Source organism: Homo sapiens, chromosome 4 (genome assembly GCF_000001405.40).
Source record: "Homo sapiens chromosome 4, GRCh38.p14 Primary Assembly".
In the NCBI taxonomy this organism is placed as follows: domain Eukaryota; kingdom Metazoa; phylum Chordata; class Mammalia; order Primates; family Hominidae; genus Homo; species Homo sapiens.
Genome location: NC_000004.12, coordinates 152,358,235 through 152,384,444, shown reverse-complemented (window position 1 = coordinate 152,384,444; position 26,210 = coordinate 152,358,235). Strand labels below are relative to the sequence as shown.

General features: G+C 33.6%; 1 protein-coding gene across 15 annotated transcripts in view, besides 1 other annotated feature; it reads left to right on the top strand.

Moving 5' to 3' along the window:
* Positions 1-26,210, top strand: part of FBXW7 (F-box and WD repeat domain containing 7) — a 215,549-nt gene that overhangs the window by 151,648 nt on the left and 37,691 nt on the right. For 3 of the 15 annotated variants that reach the window (XM_047415902.1, XM_011532087.3, XM_011532086.3), the window contains one exon: positions 2,079-2,256. The exons of 11 other annotated variants lie outside the window; for them this stretch is intronic. In XM_047415902.1, the coding sequence (XP_047271858.1) occupies positions 2,079-2,256 (178 nt within the window). Of the gene's footprint in view, positions 1-1,915; positions 2,257-26,210 lie in introns of those variants that run through there. One more of the 15 variants, NM_001013415.2, reaches the window with a different exon arrangement.
* Positions 15,080-17,942: an enhancer, noted in NCBI's record as "VISTA enhancer hs1361". NCBI's record gives its function as "enhancer in: neural tube[8/9] | hindbrain (rhombencephalon)[8/9] | midbrain (mesencephalon)[8/9] | forebrain[8/9]" and the evidence as "EXISTENCE:transgenic organism evidence [ECO:0001131][PMID:17130149]".

Here is a 26,210-nt window from a genome sequence, read left to right as displayed (position 1 = left end):
TCATACACTATCCTTTTTTGACTGACTTATTTTACTTAGTATAGTATCTTCAAGGTTCATGCATGTTGTAGCATATGTCAGAATTTCCTTCTTTTTCAGAGCTGAATAATGTTCCCTTGTTTGTATATGTCACATTTTGTTTATTCATTCATTCATTGAGACTTGAGTTGCTTCTACCTTTTGGCTATTGTTAATAAGGCTGCTATAAGCATGTGTATACAGGTATCTGTTCAAGTCTCTGCTTTTAATTATTTAAGGTATATACTCAGAAGTGGAAATGCTGGATCATGTGCTGATTTTATGTTTAAATTGTTGAGGAACTGCCATACTATTTTCTACAGCAGCTACATTCATTCATTTCACATTGCCGCCAAGGATGCACAAGGGTTCTGATTTCCCCACATCCTAGCCCATGCTTGTTGTTTACTGTTTTGTTTTGTTTTAAAACCATCCTAATGGATGTGAAGTGGTAGCGCATTGTGGCTTTGATTTGCATTTCCCTAATTAGTGATGTTGAGCATCTTTTCATGTGCCTATTGACCATTTACATATCTTTGGAGAAATCTGTTTTTGTGTAGCATTGCTGCCAGTGATTTTGCATTTTTAACTACATTTTAAATTGTGGTATAAGAGAAAGGTCTACTAATAGGAATGGGACTATTTCTTGTGCATAGATTGCCTTCCCAGCAGCCCACTTTAATATTTAGCAATGCTAATCTTTCCAAAGTCAAAAAGAAATCACCCATTTCTAACTTTCTCCTTTCAAATCCTTTCTTGTCTCCGTCAAAATTCCTGCTATAAAACTCCATAAAAGCTTGGAAGTTAAAAGTTGGAAGGAGAGATAAGTGGAGCTGACTGGCTGTTGGAAGAAGAAAATAGAATGGAAAGAGAGAATAGTTGATTGAGCACTGTGAATGGATAGTTCACAATCATTATCTACTATCTGTTAGGAATATGGATTATAGTATAAAGATTAATTAACACTTGCACAAATGGTTAATTTAGGGAAATATTTGAGATAATGCTGGAAAGTTTAGTTTGGGGCCACTTTGAAGAGAGTCTTCATCTCCAGACTTTATCTTAGGCCGTGGAGAACCATTGAAGGTTCTTGAGGAGTAAACGGCACACTGCATTCCCTCTCTGTGTTTTAGGAAGATTTATCTGACCATACTGTGAAGGAGAAATTAGGCACTAGGGATTTGCAATGGACTGGCTAGTTACTCTCCCATTTTACTATAATTACTTCCCATCATAGATTACTTTATAAATAAATACACTTTTTACATGTCTTTAATCAGTTGGGTGACTGTTATGCTTTCAAGTATAATCAATAAGTTTTTCAGAATTAAAGATTGACAATTGAAAACTCTGGTACAAAGATTAATCTGAAGTGTGTATTAATAGCTATTAGAGAACCAGAGTATACAGTATTTAATGTCTAGTGAGTATGAGATAAAGAATGGTGTGTATGGAAAAGGGAAAGAGAGCACACACTTGAAAATAGTGCTCATTATAATATATCTAAGGTAGAACAAACATACATATGTGTGTGTGTTTTTTTTAAACCATACGTAAACACAGTTCAAAAAATTCAAAACAAAATTTGTAACAGAATTCAAAACATTCCTAAAATATTAATGCTGACATTTGGATAAGGAAGACTTAATAGATACTCAAGATACAATGTTTGTTTTTTTTATTTTATTTTTGTAAGTAAAAATTTACTTTCACTTTCTAGGAAACACTCTTAGATTAGTTAGTTGGAGAAATATTAAAAGGGACCTTACAGCACAGCCCTGCTTTGGTTGTGTTCACATTACTGACTTTGTATGAGAGGTTCACCAGCTGTTTGACTGGCAGGAGCAGGAGCTTTCACTTCAGTAGTTTATAATTCCTGGCTATTCTAGGATAGTTTGCACTTCACCAAGCCTCAGACAGGTCAGGACATTTGGTAGGGGAAGGTTGAAAGACAAAAGCAGCAGGCCTTGGGTTCTCAGCCTTTTAAAAACTATTATTAAATATATATTTTTAAAATTTAGTGGTTAGAGCTTTTAGTAATGTGCCTGTATTACATGTAGAGAGTATTCGTCAACCAAGAGGAGTTTTAAAATGTCAAAACCGGGAAAACCTACTCTAAACCATGGCTTGGTTCCTGTTGATCTTAAAAGTGCAAAAGAGCCTCTACCACATCAAACTGTGATGAAGATATTTAGCATTAGCATCATTGCCCAAGGCCTCCCTTTTTGTCGAAGACGGGTAAGTCTCACACATTTGAAAAATATGAATGTTTATTTAAGTGAAGTACCTTGGCCTCTTTTAGTGAAAAGATGCCTCAAATTTCAGTTTTTATTTAAAATTAAAACTATCAATGCATTGTGTAGCCAGTAAACACTTATATAAGTGATAGTTTTATAATATGATATAGAGCCTAGAAGATAGGGTTACCCAGTTCACCTTTTTCTCTCATTTATTTTTCATGAAATTAGAATCCTGCAGATTTATCTAAAATTAGTAAATGTAAAAAGGTATGTTTTGAAATACGTTGACAAATATTAGCACTGTAAATTTGTAGTTTTTGCATGAAAGGCAAAAAGTTGATGGTATTCTCCTTATACATGGGAAATACAGCATTTCATTCGTTAAAAAGTGTTCCAAATCCTTAGGCTTCTTTGGCCTCTTAAGCTGTATTATTTTTTTAAATTGCTATTCCTTACATTCAAACTTAATAGGAACACTACTTTTTGCTGTTATATAAAATAAAAATAGCATGCTATTGTGTGGCAGTTACGATATGGTTTATATATAGACAATCCTGAACTAACAAACATTTTGTAGAACTTGTATGATCTATTGGATGTTTCTCAGGATTACGTACTCCTCTCCCTGGTCAACAAGTTTTAACCCTGTTAACATGAGCAATTTTTTGTATTTCCTGAGTTAATTTAAATTGCCAGTTTCAAATTATTTATTAGAGTGATATATTTTTAGATCTAACATAGGTTTATGAGCCTGAAACAAACAAACAAACCACTGCTTGGGATTAAATGAGTGTATTTGTGTATATCAACACTGTTAGGGTTCTATCTTTTTGTGCGTTTCTTAAAGTTTTATTTTGTTTTTAATTGACACATAATTGTATTGTACTTTTTCTTTTAGCTAAAGGGGAAATATTCTATTAAATAGAATAATCCATAACACTGGAAGAATATTTTTCCTCCTTAATAAAGAGAATCTTCTATTTGCTGGAACTTAACCTTCATAAAAACATATTTTCTAGTTAGCTTAGTTCTTTTTGAGTAGTTTCCACTTCTACGCCAAACAAGTGGCAGCCATGTTGGAAAACTTTTACATGAGGTTAAAATGTAATACAGTTTAAACATCGAAAACAGAATACAAATATCCCCAGCACCCTCTTGTTACTTTTGTACTTTACTGTTTTAAGAAAGTGTTTGTTTTATTTTGTCTGCTTTCACCTTGTCATTTTAGTAGCTTCTTCTGAATGAGGTCACTGCTCTGATTTGAGTATTTTATAGAGGCCTCTAATAGCTTTAAAGTCACTAATAAACTAATTTATTATCTTATACCCCTGTAAAAGAAAATACCAATACAAATAAAATTAAAAATTGAGAAAAAGAAGTGTAGGGCTTTTTAAAATTAAAGGGTTAAGATGTTAATAATCAAGTTAATTTTTTTATTGAATATTTTTAATAAACAAGTACATATGGGAGATTGCCTCATTATGTTACAGTATATATTTCCTGTCTTTGTCTTCTAACATGGACATTAAGTTTAAAAGACATAGGAGAAGATTCTGTAAGATAAATTAATAGAGAACTGTAAGGCTTTCCTGAGGGCTTTCTGGGGTCACTATTTAATTTGACTTTTCTAGGTTACTGTGTTATGTTAAATTATAGCCTTGCAGTTGTAATAGCAGAATAAAACTAAATATTAAAAATGAAATTCATATTAAAATTTTTAGAAGATATTTAAAAAACAAAATGAACACATTCAATTTTAGCCTGCCGGCCAATAATTTACTATTGCATAACTCATTGACTCTGACTACTAGAAATATTAGAGGGATTGTGAAATTATATCCTTTCTTTCCTTTTGCAAATGGTTAGTTGATTTACATTTTCTGTGTTATTTATTAACTTTCCCATTTTTCTTTATTAGAAATTTTAAAGATATTTTTAATATGTTATAATTAATAATATTTTGTACCTGACGTATTGTATGGCTTTTACATCGGGTATTTTTACTTTCTTTCAAGCAGATTGCTATACACCTTGACAACAAAGCACACAAAGCAAACATTCTTCTGTATTTTACAGACCACTTTTTTCCTTCTAAGTCATGAGCTGAATGTAATGTATAGTTATTGCTTATGAGACTATATGCAGTCTTGATCTATTAAAATTTGAAAGCATGGTATTTTCCTTCCAGTCATCATAGATACTGAGTCAAGTTAATGTTTGCACAGTTAATATTTTGGACAGAATAAAAAAAGTTTGAAAATAGTGGAAAAAATTTTAAGGTAGCAGTAATAACTATAACTTCAATTTATATCTCTTCAAATATTTTCAGGAAATTAATTTACCTTACTATTAAGTGTAATATTAGTACTGGTAGTTAATGTATTATATAAATTATTCTAGCTGCTCATCTGAGATAATTTATAAGCATTGGATTTAATACTAACAACAGTAAATAAATAGCAACCTAGCTATTAATCATTTACCTTCAAATGAAAATGTTTTTAGGCCAGGCATGGTGGGTCACGCCTGTAATCCCAACACTTTGGGGGCCAAGGTAGGAGGATTTCTTGAACCCAGGAGTTAGAGGTTGCAGTGAGCTGTGATGGCACCACTGCACTCCAGCTTGGGTGACAGAGTGAGACCTTGCCTCTGAAAAAAAACTAAAATTAGAAGAGAGAAAGAAAAAAATGTTTTTAGTCTTGCAGTCCTCATAATTTGTTTGTGTTTTCTCAGATTTTCCTGGTCATAAATATCAGCTGGAATACTTACTAAAAATAAGTTCTGCAGGTATTTCTTAGTATCAGAAAAATTTGGGAATACAATTTTTAACTAAAAAAAGCCTTGGTTGTCTTTTAAGGGAAGATAAATTTTACAGGAAAAAATTATTTAACCTATAAAATAATTAGGTAAAGATATTTAAAATAACCAGTTATTTTGTAGGTTATAGAAAAATAACTATTTTTTATTTGAAATTGGAATGCCTAATTATGGTAATGTTATATTTCTTAAATCCTAAGATGCATTATTTTTTCACATTATAAGCATATATGAAATAAGGATACATCTTGATGGCACTAGATAGCTTACCTAGCAACATTTTTTTCTTTCTAGTAATAAGAGAAATTATATTAAGATGCAGCTTACAACTAATAATTGCATGGTTTTTTGTTTTGCTTTTTTTGGGACAGTGTCTCACTCTGTCTCCCAGGCTGGAGTGTAGTGGCGCCATCTTGGCTTACTGCAGCCTTCATCTCCTGGGTGCAAGAGATCCTCCCACCTCAGCCTCCCAAGTAGCTGGGACTACAGGTGCATGCCACCGCATCTGGCTAATTTTTGTATTTTTGTAGAGATGGGGTTTCACCATGTTGCCCAGGCTGGTCTTGAACTCCTGGACTCAAATGTTTTATCTGCTCGCCTCAGCCTCCAAAAGTGCTGGGACTACAGGCATGAACCACCATGCCCGGCATAATAAGTGTATGTTGAAAGAAAATGGACTTTTAATGCATAAATTTCATCTCTTGACTCATTTTGTTTTTGTTTGGAGCACTTTTAAGCATTTAGAATATTCTCTTAAAATTATTCTTCAGTGTTACTATTTTAGTAGAAATTTCCAAATGACATGCAATTGTTGGTTTATTTGGGACTTAAATATATCTGGTTTGACTGCTGGTTTATAGACAAATATTGTATTTAGAGTGCCTCCTATATTCTTGAGTTTGTGTAGCATAGGCATCAGCAACACAGGAGAGAATGGAGTAGAGCTTTGGTGGAAAGGATGGAGCACAGATAAGGGACAAGGATTTATGCATCTGAGACCCAGGAACTCAGGAAATAGTGAAATATACAACTGACGTTTCCAGTAGTTGAAAATAATTTCATAGTGATTATATTCTATATCAAATTCTATTCCAAATACTGTACTTAAAATTATTTTTCTTTAAAATAAAAATAGAAATAAAAGTAGAATATTTGTGTGTCATTTGAAAAGGTGTTACTGTCACATCTTATGTATCGTCATCTTAAATCAGGAGTCCACATGCTTTTTCTGCAAAGGGCCAGTAAATATTTTAGGCTTTGTGGACCGTGTAGTTGGCCTCTGTTGCACTCAGCTCTCTCTGCCTTTCTATCATGAAAGCAGCCACAGACAGTACTTAAACAAATAGGCATGACTGTGTTTTAATAAAATGTTATTTATAAAAACAGTGAAAAACAGGTTTTTACTGTTACAACAGTACTGTAGTAAATTTTCTTTTGCATATAGCTTTTTGCTTGTGTAAGTTTCATTTTATGGTGAGTTTTTAGAATGGGGTTCTGGAGCTTTAAGCCATTACTTTCCTTTATAAGACTCATTTTCTCTAGTTCCTTTGTGTTTGTGGGAGGAAGAATTTTATTTTTGCGTATCTAATCACTCTGATTTTTTTTTTTTTTTTTTGAGACAGACTCTTCCTCTGTCACCTAGGCTGGTGCGATCTTAGCTTACTGCAACCTTCTCCTTCCAGGTTCAAGCGATTATCCTGCCGCAGCCTCCTGAGTAGCTGGGACTATAGGTGCCCACCACCATGCCCAGCTAACTTTTTTTTTTTTTTTTGATATTTTTAGTAGAGACAGGGCTCCACCATGTTGGCCAGGCTGGTCTCGAACTCCTGACCGCAGTTGATCCACCTGCCTCGGTCTCCCAGAGGGCTGGGATTACAGGCAGAGCCACCGTGCCTGGCCTAATCACTAGAATTTTAACATACTGCTTTTTATTATTTATCTTCTAAATGTATAATAATGGTATTGATGATTTCTATCATTTTAAAAGAGCCAACTATGTATTCTAGGTACTCCTCAGCTACTTTTTATATTTTAATCCATTTAATCCTTAAATAGTTTAAATGTTAATGAAACAATGTAAGTTTTATCTCCATTCAGTAGATGAGAAAACTGAGGCTCAGACAAGTGAATAACTCTCCCAGTTTTCCAGGTAGTTCGGAACGCTGGTATTTAATCTCAGGACTCTCTAATGCTGCAGGTACTGGCTGTTCTTTTACTATGCTTTGTAACATATACATTTTTTTTCTTGTGAACTTAACACGTTTCAACTATTAGTATTTTGTAGGGTTAGTCTGGGGGCCTATTGCTGTTGACATTGTTTCTATGAGACAATACAAAGTTTCAAACAGTTGACTTACAAATAATTTTTGTAGCACCGTCCCTTTATAAATTTAAAATTTTTTGTGTAATCCCTTTTAAGTTTTTTTTTTCCTTTTTAGTTATAGAGTTATCTCACAGATTATGTAACAATTTTAGTCATGAAAAAACTGGAAATATTCAGACCGTATGCATGTTTGTCCTGTGTCTTTTTGTAAACTGAGGGATGATACTTCAGGGTCTGGGGTCAGGCAACTGAGAACAGGGTGCCTAACAGGTGACTATCCTCAAAAGACAATGCAGTACCATTCTCATCAGTTAATCAATTAGTACTTTTGACAATTATGACCAAAAAAAAACACAGCACCTCTCATAGGACCTCTTAGCAATACTGTGTTAGGTTCAGGTTTTTCTTCATTGTTCAGTTATTCATGATAATAGACAAGCCTATATTCAAAATTTTAATCTTCTCATTCTCATAACAAATTAGTCCATAACCTAATTTGTTGTTTTTGTATGTATAAACTTCAGTTAGTTCAAGGGGTGTATAATTTTAATCTATTATACTCCTGTAGTAGACTGTTGGGTTTGTTAGAACTTTTCAGCAAGGTCTGCTAGGCTTATTAAACAGTCGTATTGCTTTTGTTTCAGAAAATAACATCTCTAATTATTTATTCTACAATAAAATTTTCATTAATATGAAGATTTTATACATACCCAAAACACCGACCATCATAAGCTCTGTTGGTAAAGCAAATTTGGGAATTATTACCCTCCCAAATTTAGTAATTTAATATCCTCCAAAGTCTGAGTTCAATGGCTATATAATGAATTTTTATTTCCCTCCAATATTTAATATCTTTTACTTCTCTTTATAAAACTATTAGACATGTTAAATATGTAATGTAGAAAAGGCACTTGTCTTTACAGTGTCCTAAATTATTAGTAATCTCACGGGTCAGAAATAACCACAATAAGGATTTTAAGCATATAATTTTTTAAACAAAACTGCCACTTTAATTCATTTTTAATATACTGCTAGTATTTTCCCATGGCTGTAGGTATTCAAAAGTATATAATCTGCCATATAAATATATCGTAATTTCTCACTATTGTTGATTTAGATTGTGACCTGCTTTGAACATCGTTATGCATAAATTTAACCACATCACTGTACACAGATTTCTACAAGTAGTTTTATTGGGTCAAGGAGTGTGAACTTCTTTAGATTCTTGATAAATATTATTAAATTTTTTCAGAAAAAATTGTATCAGTTCAAAAACAGCATGGGGTTTCTAATGTTACAAGACATTATATTTTAAAGCACATTTATTCTTATGGCAAAGCTTTGTGGACTTTACTTAGCTGATACTGTATCATTGTACTTCCATGTTTATTATTCTAGGTTTTCTGTGAACTGAATTTTCATTTTGAGAAAATAACGATATATGTTTTTACTTAAGGCCTCATAAGGAAAATATATCAATTGATTAAAAAATTATTTGTCGCTCATAGTGATTTTATTTTTTATTCTTATAGGAGATAATATTTGCCATAGACTTGTCACCTATATTATTTTCAACTGTAATTTTCTTCTATTCTTTTCATCGTTTTAAAACTGTGATCTGTGTTTTTATCTAAATAGATGACCCACATGTATGATTTGATAATTTATTATTGATTCAACATATTTTTTATATGGAGAGTCTTATGGTTGTCTCATTTTTTGTCACATTAGATTATACTTTTACATTTCTGAATTTTAGCATGGTATCTTTACAGTATAAGTGACAACCTCTCCCAAAGTATATAGCTATTAATAATCTCTACTGTAAGAGTACTTCTCATGCTAGCAGGAGCAGCTGCCAGAAATACTTGCCTGTTTCCTATAGCACTGTTACTTAGCATTACATTTCTGTCATAGCTTTGTCATTTAGCCCCAATCCTGGTTTGCCTTAAAAAAAAAAATTCTAGTCTAGCTATGATTAATTCTCATTTAAAGTAGTTGTAGCAAGTCTCCTCTTCTAAAATGTCTTGATGACTAAAAGGGATTTCACGAAACTCAACATCACTTTCATAGAACTCTTAGCCAAGTAAAAATATATTGATACCTCCTTAACATACGGAAATATAAAACGTTTTAAAAGCCAGCATCATCCCCCCCCCTCCTGTAACTAGTCTATTTGGTATCCACTGGTTACATTTGTGCCTGTTTTTCTACATCCTTTCCATGACCTCATGGTCCAGCTTACCTCTCTCTTGAAACCTCCCTTCTGGCACTGGTTTCATCCACTGTTGTCCTCAATTATTGCTGTTATCTTTGGTCCTTAGGCATACTATATGGGCTGCTCAATGATGTTATATGACAACTTTGTATAGATATCTCCTTGGTTAGGTTATAAACTCTTACAATTCAGAGGTTATTTTTAATACCTTTTTATGCTTCCAGAGATATGCAGGAGAAAGTTAGTATAAATATTTCTATGGCTGATTCATTGAAGTGTCTGTTAAACTTGGAAAAATCCTTAAGGAATTTTTGTGCTGTAAGAATGTGGCTTGTTTTTGTTTACTAAATGTTTTTAAGTGACTGTGCAGCTGTGATTTTGAATATTTCATTTTCTAAATTTAACGAAACTCAGATACAGTTTGACACTTAATTTTAAAAGTAATTACTATGTACTAATTTTGAAAATGAAAAAGAAACACACATGGTATAGTCATTTAGGTGGTACTTTTGGGAGTCTAGAGTAGCTCCTAAATATCAGAAAATGCTGAAATAGAGAAAAAAAATACAGTACTTTGAAGAGAAGAAAGAATAGGGTGGTGGTATGAGCAAATTTAGAGAGGGAATTTAATAGGGTACCTGTTTTGTGGTGGGGTTTTTTTGGTTTGTTTTGTTTTTGTTTGTTTGTTTTTGAGTGAGGAAACTAAAATGTGGCTTTCTAAGCTTCTCTTACTTGCATATATCTTCCATTGGTACTTGGAAAATATAAACATTTCCAGATCCTTTGGTGTTTTTTATGGTCACTACTTACTTTATCAATAAAGGCATTAATTACTGTCAGTTATCACATATCAGACCATTCTATTTTAGATCCTTTGGTCTTTTTCTCTTTAAGAATGTTTCACACATCATGCATCAACATGAGTAAGCAATGTAATTGTCGGTTTTCTTTGCATTCTCTGTGCTGTGCAAGCCACCGGCTATAAATAAGATGATGATCCCCCATGCCCATGCACAAATGAAAAGTCACAGTGATAAAACTACAAACAAACCATTATAGTACAAAATAATAACTGCTTAAATGGACCTACGTACAAAGTACTGTCAGAGTATGAGGAGGCACTCAGAGCTCAATATGAGTGGTTCAGGAAGGGCTTCACAGTAACCCTGAATTAAAACATGAAGATGTTTGCTAAGTAGGTGATCAGAGGAGTGATAGAGGGAACTTGTATCATTGCTTGGGATCGTGTCTTGTCTTATGTTTTTTCATATTAAGTATACTGCTGCAAATTACATCTTGCCGTCAATTTATTAATGTTGAAAAAATACGTATTGAGCACCTAGAGTAGAGAACTTTCCTAGAAACTGTAGATATAACAGTGAACTTGATAGACAAAGGCCATGCCCTCATGGAGCTTAGATTGTAGTTTGGGGAGACAGAAAATAAATACTACTGTTAATATTTTGATGACAGTAAAATAGGGTAATAGAATAAGGTATGATTTGGGATGTAGAAGAGGCACTACTCTAGTTACTTTCTATACATAAACTCATTTAATCCTTAAAATCACCTTGTGAAGTACGTTGTATTGTATTTTACCTGTTTTACACGTGAGGAATCTCAGGCATAGGAAGGTTCTTGCCCCTTAGCTAGTAAGTAATGTAGCTAGGACACTAACTCAAGCAGTCTTATTCCAGCATCACAGCCACTGCAGGAAACGGATCTGGAGTAGGCATTTGTTGAACAGACCCTTAGTGTCCAAATGTTTTAAGGGTTAACTTTTGCCATATAATCTTGGAATTTTAAATGTGTAATTCTCACCTTTCCCAACAATTTATGATGGTCTCAATATCTAATTACTGATAATACTGCCTTCTGTATGTTTTTGTCATCAGATGATGTTTTAGTATTGGGTTGTGCCCTAGTTGTCAGATAGGAGTACAAAGCGACTTAGCACATGATTTATAAATCTGTAACTACACTATGGAAACAACTTGTATGATTTTGTCTTTTATGTAACAAATTTTTAATTAGGTAACAATTTGTATAATTTTGACATCAAAGGGCAAGGCTATTTAAATTTGTAAATATAAACTAAGTTAGGTTTTACAGAAACTAACTTAATGTTGAGGCTTGTAATATAGAAGACAGATGAAAAATATGCTAAAAATAAACTTGGAACTAAGCTCCTGGCAAGGTAAACAAGTGTGAAATAAGTCCACAGTCCCTTGTCTGCAAAGCAGAAATCCATCATGCTCTGAAAACTGAAAATTTAAAAATAAAGGTAGCAAAACCTAACCCAAACTAACATAAAACAGTCATCTTTATTATTTATCTGAATATTCATATATTTTGCTGGAGAAACACTAATGTGTGATATACTGGAAGTGCTCTGTAATAAATAGTATATGCACTCTGTTACCTTTCTACAATTCAAAATATTCTGAATTTAGGAACACAGCTGTCTCCAAGAGCATGGAACTAAATCCAGAGACCTTAGAGTTTTACAACTGTCACCCACTCATAAAAAACTGAACACACTTTGAAATGTCAGAGTAGTCTAAGCTTTATCTTAAGTCTCTGAGTACATGCATATTAAATACTTTAAAACATACATATATAGATGAGTACCTAAAGTTTATTAACCTAATTATAGGCTATTATAACCATATAATACAATGATAGTTTGGAGCTTTTATATTACTTTTCTTCAGTGATTAAAATACAGCTCATGCTAATAGACTTATTCTTTAAATGAGTGTAGAGAACCTCAACCACATTTTTTTTAATTGTCCCAGTATTTCCATGGGAAATTAACACCACAAAATTAATTTTAATCTGCTGATATATAGTATGCATACTCTCTGTGTGTGTTGCTACTGTTACAAAGATGAATAAGACAGCACACCTTTCCCTTAAGGAATCCACAAATGCCTTCATGTCTCTGAGAGACTTGTCTCATCATCCACATTTCATGGTCACATATCAAAATTAGATGAACATGGCTTAATTAATTTATTCAACAAATAAGCATCTGCTAATAGCCAGGCCCAGTTCTAGGCACTTGGGATACATTAGTGAACAAAACAGGAAAAAAAGTCCTTTCAACATTTTAGCGGTCCTGAGAAGTCCTCCAAGGCAAGAGGCAGTTTGTGCCAACATACAGTGTGTCATCAGACTCCTTTATTAAATTATACACTTTTCATTTCTAAATCATTTGGTGATAATTTGTATTATAGTTTTTTCATATGTATACATAACTACATACATGTACATACAATTTACCTGATTTGATAGAATTAAGTTAGTGGCCTTATTGAAATGTATAATCTGCCGGTTTTCAAATACTGTTAGATAGTATCTATTACAAGCAAAATATTATTTTGATGCTCTGAAATGATAAATAGGATTCCATTTAACTCCCTTTTTAAATATTTTTGTGAAACAACTTTCTTTTGGTGTTTTTAATAATTCTATCAGGCACAGCTTAGTGATTTCTTTCTGAATTATTCCTGGATCAGAATTAGACTTCTTGTCTTTTTCCATGCCACTATGGAAGGTTGCAGAAACTAGCATGTATCTCACATATAAATTAGTTATATAATGGTAGATAAAATTTATGGTAGATATATTTGTGTTATATTTTGGTATAAATAACAGTAGATATAATTTAAGATTTTTAAAGATGATATTAATTTTACTATAGAAATAATAGTGGAAAGGCCCAGCATTTTTGGTAAAGTTGATGACATTCTAAATGTTAGCAGTTTCAATTCAGTTATTTCCTTTCACAAGTACCTGCTGATGCAGCACGTCTCTTTATTTGTATATATAGTGTTTTACTCCTAAAATATGAAGGGTAAAATTATTAAAGTAGGGTTTTTTTAAGTCAATATCTTAGATTAATAAAGTTTTCTTTTGTGACTTTGATAGTGTCTTGTGTTTATATATTTATAAACTTCATTGCAATTTAGGAATGGGGGAAGCAGTGAGTCTTTCTCAAATATTAATACTGTTTTTGTAATTCTGTTTTTCTATACTGAATATTTTTCAGAGCTATCGAACCATAAAATAGCAGGCTTTTCTTCTTAGGAGAGCCATCATTTCTCAAACGTACATCTTACTACATTGGCATTATTTGCATATTTGTTTTTCTTTGAGAGAGAGAATAGTTGAAAGTGGCCATTGAAAGTAGCACCTCCAAGTGTAGATAATGCTAAAAACATTGCAGTGATCCACTATACATGTAATATTTTGATATAATTAACTTGAAACATTAATTTTATAGTGGAATTCCATGTTTGCATTCATTAGGAATTTACTCACAACTAAATCAAGACTTTTAATTTGAACTTTCTTCCTCAAGTAAAGGTAGCACTCCCCACCCCATACATAAAAGAGACAGAAAAGGTTAAATATTTATCCCAAAAGCACATGGCTAATTAGCCATTTGTTTATGATTATTTTGTGGTATCCTCATATAATGATGGGAAAATCTGTTTTGAGGATTTGAGAAAATTTATGGTAATGTTGAATGGGATTTTCTTAAATTTCTTCTCCTTTGCTAGTCTTGAACATGAAAATTGAAACTTATGAGCTATTTAATTACATTTTTATGTGTGGGTGATTTCATATAGTTCACTTGGGAACAATTTCAGCTTAAACAGCTTTTCAATAATCCATAGAAATCTCTGCGTTATCACTTTAGATTTTAAAATGTCACTGTTGCTACTAATATGAACATGTAGGGGCAGTATAGTACTGTTTTTGTAAATCTTGTCTGAATTTGTGAGTTTTAAAAATCTGTGTTACTGTTAGAAGTTTGTTCTTCTCTAAGATAACATAACTATATCTTGCTTTTTTAAAGGATGGTTGGTACTGCTTCATTAAGTTGGAACTATTCTTTCAGTTCATGTTCTTACATGTGTTATACAAAATCTCTTATATTATGAAAGCTCTTGGCCCTGATTTATATTTGAAGTCAAGGAATATGTTTAGTTAAAAGGAAAAATGCATTTTTATTGTCTGACAATAAAAATGAGAATAAATGGATTCATAAAAACCGGAAAATACCAAGATCAGTGCAGTTTTGCCCTTACTCTGTGTCATCCTTTCAAAATGAATGTTTATGATAATTTTTACAGTCTTAATTTTTCAATATGACAAGTGAACAAAACTGAGATTACCGAACAGTCTTATTTTTAAGATTCTTTAATTGGTACATCTTTTTTTCGTGTCAAAATGGTTAAGGTTATTACAAACTTTATTACAAAATATAGTAACTTTTCCCCCGACTTAATATTTAAAAGAAGACAACTGAGCAGTTATCTCTTCCATCTATGTATTCACTTTATTCAACACCTCCTATGAGCCACGGACTGCTTTAGGCATTTAGAGTACAACAGTGAACAAAACATCCCAGCCATCACCCTCGTGGAGTTCATATCAGAAAAGCAGAGTGCCTAAGAGCGCGGATTATAGGGTCAGTTGGACCTGGGTTTAAGTTCTTTGCTGTACCACTTACTAAGCCTTATCTGTGAAGAGCTAATAGTAGTACCTTTTACAGAGGGTTGTTGTAAGGATAAAATGAAATAACCCATGGAAAGCATGGTTATGTACAAGAGTTCTGTAACTATTATGAAGCCCTCATAAGACATTTTTAGATGTGTTGGTAAAATTTATAATTAATTCTCCTGATGTAATAGTACTTATGATAGAGATTTTGAGTATTTTTTTCATTTTTAGTTTCTTCAAGTGGTAAAAGAAGATGCACAGCATAAATTTTGAATAATTTTTCTTAAACAGTTTCCTGAGTGACTTTTAATCTTCTCTGAGTGGAAAGATACCATGCATAAAAAGTTAATGTGATTTGGTTCTACTTACATTATGTAGATTCATTCAGTGCGACTATCATATATGTAAAAATTAACCCCATTATGTCTCCCTACATGAAGAAAAGCATATGTGACATCTTGGTAGTTTGTTTGGAGATTCTCAGATGTTCAGAATAAATGTGTTGGTTTCAAATGTCATTAAATTGGAATTTTTAAAATCGCTATATAAGAATTAAAAATACATGTTATTGATTTACATATTATGTTAGCTGCTAAAATGTCTAGTATATAGTTTCCATTATAATTTTAAGTTCTGACACCATTTTCCTACTGAAGCCCCCAAAATTTGGTAATTAAGAAATGTAACATACTTTTTAACAAATTTGAAAACTGTCTTGTCAAAATGGTACCTGATATATCATTACTACATAAGAATTGAGACTTAAAACATTTAAAGAACTGATTCACAAATTTTAACAAAAGTACTTAGAAAATTAGACCTTTCTTTAGTACCCTGTGCTTCTCTTGGTTCTTGTTATTTCTGTGTTATACAGAAATTCCATATTTAACACACACACATGCATGCATCCGCACACACGGGCATCCCACACACATAGAAGTAAAATTCTAACCACCCCCTACCTCTATTTAATAGCTTATCAGCTATGTTCATGCTACAACTGCTTCATTGAAGGGAAGTCCTATTCTGCTGTTTTCATATTAGCTTTGTTATAATGCAGTATTTTTCAGCTGCTCATGCTCATTACCATACAGCTGGTATGTAGAGAAGAGAAGGAAACAGGCAGAAGTTGTACTGTCTACAAGAATAAGAAGCTCTCTTGCAGATGGGGTGCTGGCAGATGGGGCATGTGTTTGAACAGGTTTTACTAATAACAGAGTGCGTTAAAAATCATTCTGAGAAAGTCCTAAGGTCAGTGCCATGGATTCAGAGCTTGAGAGGTTGTTCAGCTTTTTCGTAGACCTTTTTAGAATATTAATCGACTCTTACAAAAAAAAAGTAATAAATGGCAAACCATACCTCCTCCAAAAAAAACTTACCAGTTTTTTTCTTCTTTATATTAGTATGTTTTTTCTTTAGTATAATTTTAAAAGCATTAATACTGTCACCTAGTATCATCAACTTGTGTTGTCGTAGTCTTAAATATATTTACTTAAAATGTCTACATCTATATACAAAAATGTAGATGCTTTGTGAAAATGGTAATAACATTCTTCAGTTTCTGTATATTAGAATATTTATTAGAAAGTGAAAACTAAAGATTTAGATATCAGTGTGTATAGTGTTGACTACGTTGAAGATTAAGTCGAGGAATGTTTTATCTGCATACAAAGTTAGAAGTGAATGGTATGCCCAGAAATGTATCTATTGTTAAAAATATTTCTTGCATATTTTGCATATTCACAAAACCAAAGTGAATGAAGTATAATTAAAATAACCATCATTTTTATTAGAGTATTTTAGTGGGATCTTAGTCTTTTTGGCCCTTTTTTATTAACTAGTATTTCTTGATATATCCTCTCTCAATGGGAGATGCTGATGAAAAGCAACTGAAGCAAAATAAAGCTAGGCAATTTTGTGTAACATATGTAGTATTCAATTTAATTTTAAAGGAAATAGAACTTGTTCTTTTCATAGAGATTAAAATATGTGAATATATATAATATATATGAAATGTATACAAGTATAGCTAGTTTTTTTTTATACTTTAAGTTCTAGGGTACATGTGCACAACGTGCAGGTTTGTTACATATGTATACATGTGCCATGTTGGTTTGCTGTACCCATTAACTTGTCATTTACATTAGATATTTCTCCTAATGCTATCCTTGCCCCATCCCTCAACCCCACGACAGGCCCCAGTGTGTGATGTTCCCAGCCCTGTGTCCAAATGTTCTCATTGTTCAATTCCCACCTATGAGTGAGAACATGCGGTGTTTGGTTTTCTGTCCTTGTGATAGTTTGCTCAGAGTGATGGTTTCCATCTTCATCCATGTCCCTACAAAGGACATGAACTCATCCTTTTTTATGGCTGCATAGTATTCCATGATGTATATTTGCCACATTTTCTTAATCCAGTCTATCATTGATGGACATTTGGGTTGGTTGCAAGTCTTTGCTATTGTGAATAGTGCCACAATAAACATACGTGTGCATGTGTCTTTATTGTAGCATGATTTATAATCCTTTGGGTATATACCCAGTAATGGGATTGCTGGGTCAAATAGTATCTAGATCCTTGAAGAATCGCCACACTGTCTTCCACAATGGTTGAACTAGTTTATAGTCCCACCAACAGTGTAAAAGAGTTCCTATTTCTTCTCCACATCGTCTCCAGCACCTGTTGTTTCCTGACTTTTTAATGATCGCCATTCTAACTGGTGTGAGATGGTATCTCATTGTGGTTTTGATTTACATTTAGTTTTTAAAGCTAGTATAAGTTACAACACTTTTGGCAACTCAGAAACTCATGCTTCAGATTTCTTGTCAGTAAAATGGAGGTACAAAATACTGTCTGTGAAGTTAATAACTATGAATAAATAAAATGATTTAAATGAGACCTGTGAGAAGTGGTGTACTTTAACAAGCATTGCTAAAACTGTGTATTCCTTTTAATAGTGAAAGTTTAGATTCTGTTGGGCATTTTAAAGGTACAGAAGTCCTAAACTGTGAAGTTGCATTTTTATTGCTCATCAAACTTATTTTCTTCCAATTTAATTTGTATTTGGACTGTATGACTGATAAATATGTAGAAATGCTTTTATGACTTTTCCCTGAGGGGGAAATATATTAAGTATTATAAACAATAGACAGTATAATTATAAAATGATAAACCTGTAAAATGTATTTTTCACCTACATCATCATTTCTTATTTAGAAAATTATGAGTTTTTAAAATTGTGTTCAAAATTAATGGTTTTCTGTTGTTATTTCTGTAGCTCTACCATTGTTGATTAGGGTATGTCTTGTGTGGCTAATTATCTCATATAAATATTTTTTATTGGTACCCTACTATATGCAGGAACTATGTGAGGAGCTGAGATACAACAAGAATCAAAACAGAATAAAAATACTGCCCTCATGGAACTTACAGTCTATTGGAGAAGACAGACAAATATTTAATGTGCTCACACTGTAACAAGGTGTTGGCTTCAAGCACTGGGAAATCAGAGATAGCCTGTATACAGATAATTCACATATTTTCATCTCCAACCCAGACCTTTCTTCTGGGCCAGAACCAGTTGGAGCATGAGATTTGGATACCCAGTTATCTCCAAGATATCTCAAGATCCTCCTCACCCCTGGCCCCCAGAAAACAAAAAACAACCAACTAACCCAGTCCTTGTTATCCAATTGCACAAGTGAGAAAACAGGTGTTATCTTTGATACCTTCCTCTTTTTTACTTGCCATGCATGACCCATCTGTTACTATCCTATCAGTTTGATGTCCTAAATGTCTCTTAACTGCCCACTCCTATGCATCTCTGTTTCTACCTAGCTAATCGAAGCCATCATTATCTCTTGCCTGGTCTAGTGGAATAACTTCCTCACACAGTCTCTCCACATCTACTCTCAATCACTGCCATTCTATTTTCAGCATTACACTTTGAATGATTTTTTTCAAGAAATAACATCTGATTATATCTTTTTCTTAACTACTATGCAGCATTAGCTTTTCATTACTCTTATGGTAAAACCCAAAATCCTTTGAGGTCTTGGGTAATGTATCCCTTGTCTACTTCTTCAGCCTCATCTTACACCTGCCATCCTACCTCTGTTCAGTGTCCTCTAGCTATAGGTGGTTATCCCTCCCTGCTCCGAACCTAGCTCAGTCATTCATTCAGCGAGAAGATGCCTTCTGTGAACCCACAGACTAGGTGGAAACCTCACCATTCTTAACACTCTTCGAACACTGCAGCATTTACCACAGTTGCAGTTTTGCTTTGTTTTGTCTCATTATCTTGCCCACTATGCTGTGAACTCCAGCCATGAAACAGACACAAGACTTAGTTTAGCTTATGTTAGGCAACTAAGTAACTATTATATTGAATGAATGGGAGTATCTGTGGCAGACTGAAATAACCATGTAAATCTGCATGTGTTGTAATTATGTATATTAGGTAGAATATAATTATGGAGATACTTGAGACAAAGTGTAGGGTAGAATCACAGAGATACATATGTTTCAATACAGATGTTCACTGTTAGGAATGATAACCATACATGGATCAAATGGACAATTAATGAAGATGGATTGGCTCTTTAAAAAAGGCCTTATGTAATGAAGTTAAGAAACAGGGCCCAAATGATAGCCACATATTGAAAAGCATGTGCTCTATGTATTCAGATGGAAAATCCTGTGTATTTGTTACTACTTGGTTAGTAAGTCAAGTATTTTTAGGCTGTGTACTAAAAAAATTTTCAATGAAGAAGTCATAGTCCCTTATTAAGTGTATTTGGGTTTGAGTAATCAACAAAGAACATTTGAAGCAGTTTCTTTCATAAATATTATGATTCATAACTTTTGCCAGTTTTCCATAGGGTTCAAATCATTTTGGTAAGGAGGAAAAAACCTAGTAGCTTCGTTGAAAGGACACTGCAATGGAGATCCTTTGATGTTTGTGTTTTCAGCTCTCTTTTATTTCATATTTTAGGGAAATAAAGCAGGACATGAAGGAAGGAGAGTAAGACATAGAAGTCCTGAGAGGGTTTGGGAAAAGGAAGCAAAACCCATTTGTTGTTGTGTTTCTTCCAGTATGCCCACTGATGACTGCCTGGCCTCAATATAATGTCACAGATTATAAGAGCAGTTCTTAACCAAGCGGAGCCACTGGCAGTAGTGTATTAACTTGTTGTCAAGCTGCTCCTGGTGAATTCCCAGAAATAAAGTGTATCACAGTACACAATTAGCTGCATAGTCCGTCTCTTCTTTCTGCAAGTCTGCAGTGGCTCTAGTGTGGATTTCATATTCACATCACACATTTGCATACTGAAATAACTAAGAAAACATCTTAGAGATATTTAAACTGCCAATATTTCTTGCTTTGTATATAGAGAACCCTATTTTTATTTTTTTGTAAACTGAAGACCAGGACTTCCTTAGGTTCAAATCCCATCTACCTTAAGTGACCTTGGGGTCGCTTAAAACTCTCTGTGCCTCTTTCCTCATCTGTAAAATAGAGATAATAATAGTACTTTCTGCAGAAAGTTGTTAAACCGTTTCATTGAATTAATATAAGAAAAACACCTAGGAAGAGTGCCTGACATATAGTGAGTTTCCTTCCCTGTATACATTGTATTCTTAAGAAAACATCTTTTTGAAAAGGAGTTGCTTATTCAAACTGGAATAAAGTTTGCAGCATCTTTGATAGTGGGCACTGAAAGAGCATTCAGGTCAGTTTAAAATCTAGTGTTTATTTTTCTTGTATACATTTGGTTTAAAATATTGCCATGTGCATTTCTTGAAAATATTATCTCTTCCTCTTTCTAGTTGTATATATTGTCATACAAATTAAGCAGTTTCACTTATTAGTCAAATGGATTTGTCATTTTTTATTGACTTGCCTGTCCTTCCCTCCTGAGTTGGGAGTGCTTCCAGGATAGATATTACATCTTGCTCAATTTTGCATCTTTTTTGCTTAGTGCTTGGCTTTTAGTAACCCTGGACAAATATTTCTAAAATGTGGTAGATCTAGATCTAAAAATATAACATTTGAATCACTGCTTAATTTTTTCTCCCTCTTGTTTTATTGTTTAGAAAATGGAGAATCATTATATGACTCAGGATTCATTTGGATGAGACTGATAATATTATAATGGAATTTGGAGTTAGAGGCTCACATGAATTGCTCTCAGTCACTAGCTTTTTCTGTGCTACCTATAAATGATAAACAAATATTGTGAATCTCACAAAGTTAAAGTCTTTGAAATAAATGGATTGGTAGGGGGTAAATTACATCTTAGTCTAACAAAATCTGTTTATTGCAATGGTTTAATAAAAGTCAGGTGACTAAAAATATCTTGGAAAATACCACTTAATTTTAATCTTTGCTGTTTATGTTGTGATCATGATGATTAACATATCTTCATTTATCTTCTCTTGAAAACTATTCCAAGTTCTTGTTGTTTTTTTTTTTTTTTTTTTTTGAGAGAGAGAGTTTCACTCTGTTGCCCAGGCTGCAGTACAGTGGTGCAATCTTGGCTCACTGCATCCTCTGCCTCCCGGGTTTGAGCAATTCTCTGCCTCAGCCTCCCAAGTAGCTGAGATTACAGGTGCCCACCACCATGCCTGGCTAATTTGTTTTATATTTTCAGTGGAGACGGGGTTTCACCATCTTGGCCAGGTGATGGCCTGGTGAACTTGATCTTGAACTCGTGACCTTATGATCCACCTGCCTCAGCCTCCCAAAGTGCTGGGATTACAGGCATGAGCCACTGCGCCCGGCCCTAAGTTCTTTTTTAATATGCTAAGTTGTCTGTTGTTGGAATGACTTTAAAGGAAAGGTTTAAAATGAAGAAAGGAATATGTGTGTGTCTTCTTTATCATCTCATGAACTAAAAAATACTGGAATTTTAAGATTACACTAAAGTTCAGCATCCTTTTGCTAGCTTTGAATTGATATTCTTTTGGGTAGATTTAGACTATTCCTCATAGGATTTTTTCATATTGTATAATTATGAACATACATTGACTCATAAACTTAGATTTTAAGAAATCTAAGATTTAGCTTTAAAAAGTGGTCTCAATTTACCATGTAGCAGTTCGTAACAGACCACAGCTATATGCACTTGTTCATATCAGGAGCAGTTCTTAATTTTAGTTATAATTCATATTTGTTTAATAGTCATCATTCCATCATTACATACCATGCCTTCATGCAACTGGTGGGAAACTTATGATATTCATTCCACATAAAGGAGTTTTTAGAATCATGTATTAAATGTGATAAGCTTTCTTTTTTCTTTTCTTTTTTCTGTTCTGTTCTGTTCTTTTTTTTTTTTTTTTTTTTGAGATGGAGTCTAGCTCTGTCTCCCAGGCTGGAGTGCAGTGTTGCAATCTCGGCTCACTGCACCCTCCACCTCCCGAGTTCAAGCAATTCTCCTGCCTTAGCCTCCCAAGTAGCTGGGATTACAGGTGCACACCACCATACCCGGCTAATTTTTGTATTTTTAGTAGAGTCGGGGTTTCACTCTTGGCCAGGCTGGTCTCCACCTCAAGTGATCCACCAGCCTTGGTCTCCCAAAATGCTGGGATTACAGGTGTGAGCCACCATGCCTGTCAAAAGTTAGTTTTCAAACATTTGGAGGTCTCAAGTGTTTATAGGTAAATATTTTTTAAATCATGTGCTAAAATAAATTTTAAGAAAGTGAATCTGTAAATAAAATATTTCTATGAGAATGTTGAGAAGATAGCAAAGTGCTTCTAACTATCAGTCTTACAGTTCACTGCACATAAAAGACAAATATACATTCAGATACCTTTTCAAGTTAAGTTGTCTTGAAAATATTTATTGACCTTCAGAGTCTTTTGGAATCTCCTAAACAGGTAGGGAATCATGTAAGTATTTGCTAGTCATAGAATTCTTGATTTTTTTTTAAAGCAAATAATGTAATTTGTTAAAGTATATATATGTATATAGGAAGTACTTTAAAATTTAAATTAATGTTTTAAAAATGAATAGAATCCTCTTTTTAAAATGTAGTGGGGGCCTGATTACTATGTTCTTCCCTACTCACTTGACAGCTATGTCAAACACTTGAATACTTAAAGAACAAGCAAGCTACATAAAAACAAAGAATTGATTAAAGATCACCATGAGGCACACTTTCTAGAGCAAGAATCCAGTGTTATTTTTGTTTCTCACTGGCCTAGCACCAAAACAAAATAGGTACTCAATAAATATTTTTGAATTAGTGAAATCAGTTTGAATTCACAGACTTTGATTCATAACTAGAGTTTTAAAAGATTGGTTCAAGTTATGCCTTGTCATTTTGAATTCTTCTGGAAAATTAGTAAGATGCTTGATGAGAAGAGATGCCTATATTTTAAAAAGTGCAGTAAGTATGAATCTGGACTTTCTGTATCTGCCAGCCAAATGTTGGCTGGCATTTTACTATATTTTATATATATATATATATTTAATATATTTTAATATATTTTTCTAGGCTTTTCTCTATGCATACACAGTGCGCACACACATAAAATATATGCTTGTTTTTTCAAAAGGACCGTACCTTATATTGTGTTATCGAATCTCACATACCTTCTAGTTTTACAGTCACCCTTCCATAGTCACCTAGCTCTGTACCTGATGAACGGTTTCTGAGACTTCAAAATGCTCTATAGTGAAGTCTGTTCTTTAGAAAAGAGGCTTTGAGTCTGGGGGCCAGACAGTAGAGGTGTGGGGAGAAAGGGCTGGGGTAGAACAAGATGAAAATTTTCTTAGTGAGCTATACCTTTTTGAATAGGACAGGTTCTTTCAGTCACATGTTGGCAAGAATCGGTGAATTGTGTACTCACCTGTTGCCCCGAGTAACTTTTCGGATTGTTTTTTCATTAACTTTTTCTGGGAATATACAATTTCAATGAATGTTTTATACACCATTTCCCTGCGCTGTGTATTCAGGAGTACAACTTGCTTGTATGTATGATTTCTAGTGTGAATGCCTGTTCAAACAGAAAGTCCCCTTGTTTGTCAGTGTTTGTAACTAAAATAAAAAGTCAACAGTCTTCACACCCACACAGTAAAGTTCTCCTAGTACAGAAAGACACATAATGCCCTAAGATGGAATGATGAGTCATGACAGGAGGTATTTTGAAGAAATTTAACAATATGTTAAATAACATTTTAACTCTAGTATTAAATGTTTCAGTTAGGAGAAATAATTGTTATCACATGGGTTATCCCCTAATGAACCTTGTAAGACCAGTGATTAGAAGTCTAATAGATGCTGTTAATCCTGCAAGTTAATAATAGTCGTATTTCCATTTACATCTCAGGTCCACAGGTGGTAATTTCCTTCTTCCCTCTCAACACTTATCAAACTTCTGTTTTTTAAACACAGAAGCAAGACCATGTCATTTATGAACTCCCAGACTATTAAAATAACTTCTCCATTTTCTGACTCACTCCACCCAATTTGGCAATTGATATATAGTCCAGTATTGCTTTCTATTTGTTTCTTGTCTTTGTGGGTTTTTTTTGTTTTTTGAGACTGAGTTTTGCTCTTTTTGCCCAGGCTGGAGTGCAACGGCACGATCTCAGCTCACTGCAACCTCTGCCTTCCGGGTTCAAGTGATTCTCTTGCCTCACCTGTCTTCGTGGTTTTTGTTGTTGTTTTGTTTTGTTTTGTTTTGTTTTTGGTAGTTTTTGTTTGTTTGTTTTTGAGACAGAGTCTTGCCTTATCACCCAGGCTGGAGTAGAGTGCTGTGATCATAGCTAACTGCAACCTCAAACGATCCTCCTGCCCCAGCCTCTCAAGTAGCTAGGGCTACAGGTGCACACTACCATGCCCAGGTAATTTTTTTTCATTATTTATAGAAATGGGGTCTTGCTATATTGCCCAGGCTGGTCTTGAACTCGTAGCCTCAAATGATCCTCCTGCCTCGGCCTCCCAAAGCTCTGGGATTATGGGTGTGAGCCACCACACCCAGCCTCATTTCTTATCTTGTCACCTGGATTTTAAGTATCTTGTGGGAGGAAGGTAATTGCAATGTTTTTGTTTGCCCTTGGTAGCATTTCGCAGATATTGGGACATAGGAGGTGACTTATTTCTCAATTGATTGTTTTTTTAACCTAAAATTTTCTCAGTTTCTGTCACCTTTCCCCCATCACCAGGCCTTTGCCTCAGATTTCCCAGATGTAGTAGAAGCATAGTTAATATGGACCTAAAATAACGATTCAATAAACTGAATAATCAAGATTTACTTGTAATTTACATACATACTTTTTGCAAAATATAACACTTTTTTCTTCTTTAACAATGTCTCGTGTTTTAGCTTAACTTGAGCTACCACATATCTAATGGAAATCAGTAAGAATTATTGATCTTGGGACCAGAGACCAAGGTTCTAAATATAGCTAGCTATTTAAGCATGGGCAAGACACTTAATTCTGTACCTACTTTTCCCACCTGTTAAATACAGCTACCATTTCTAGGGTATCTGTTATGTGCTAGGCATTTTCTGTTTCCTCACAGTGACTCTGTAGTTTAGGTGGTAAGGTAGGTGTATATCATTACTGTTTTATAAAAAGAGAAAACAAACTCGTAAAGGTCAAGTAACCACCTAACATTACACTCTGGTAATGGCAAAACTTGCGCTTAAATCCAGGTTTTTCTGGTTCCATTGCTTGTGTTCATTCCACAAACAAAGAGGAATTAGATGACATCCAAAATCACTCTATGGCTTCCTGCTGTTAATATTTTTTGCTGATTTAGTAGCTATACCTTTTTTTTTTTTTTAGTCTTTAGCTCTCTTCTCAAAACTTTTTTATCATGACTAATCACTAATTTAGGAAATTAATCCCAGAATTTTAAACAGTTCTTGAAATGAATACAAGATTAATATATCACACCTATGGGAAATTCTTCTCAAGTCAGGCAAATATATTTGAAAATCACAAACAGCAGCAATAAATATGGATTTGTGTAAAGAAAGCAGAAGAGTGAATAGGGTTTAGGCCTTATATTGAGGGAAATTTGATTTCATTCTTTCTCCATGTTAAATTCTTTCCTGGGT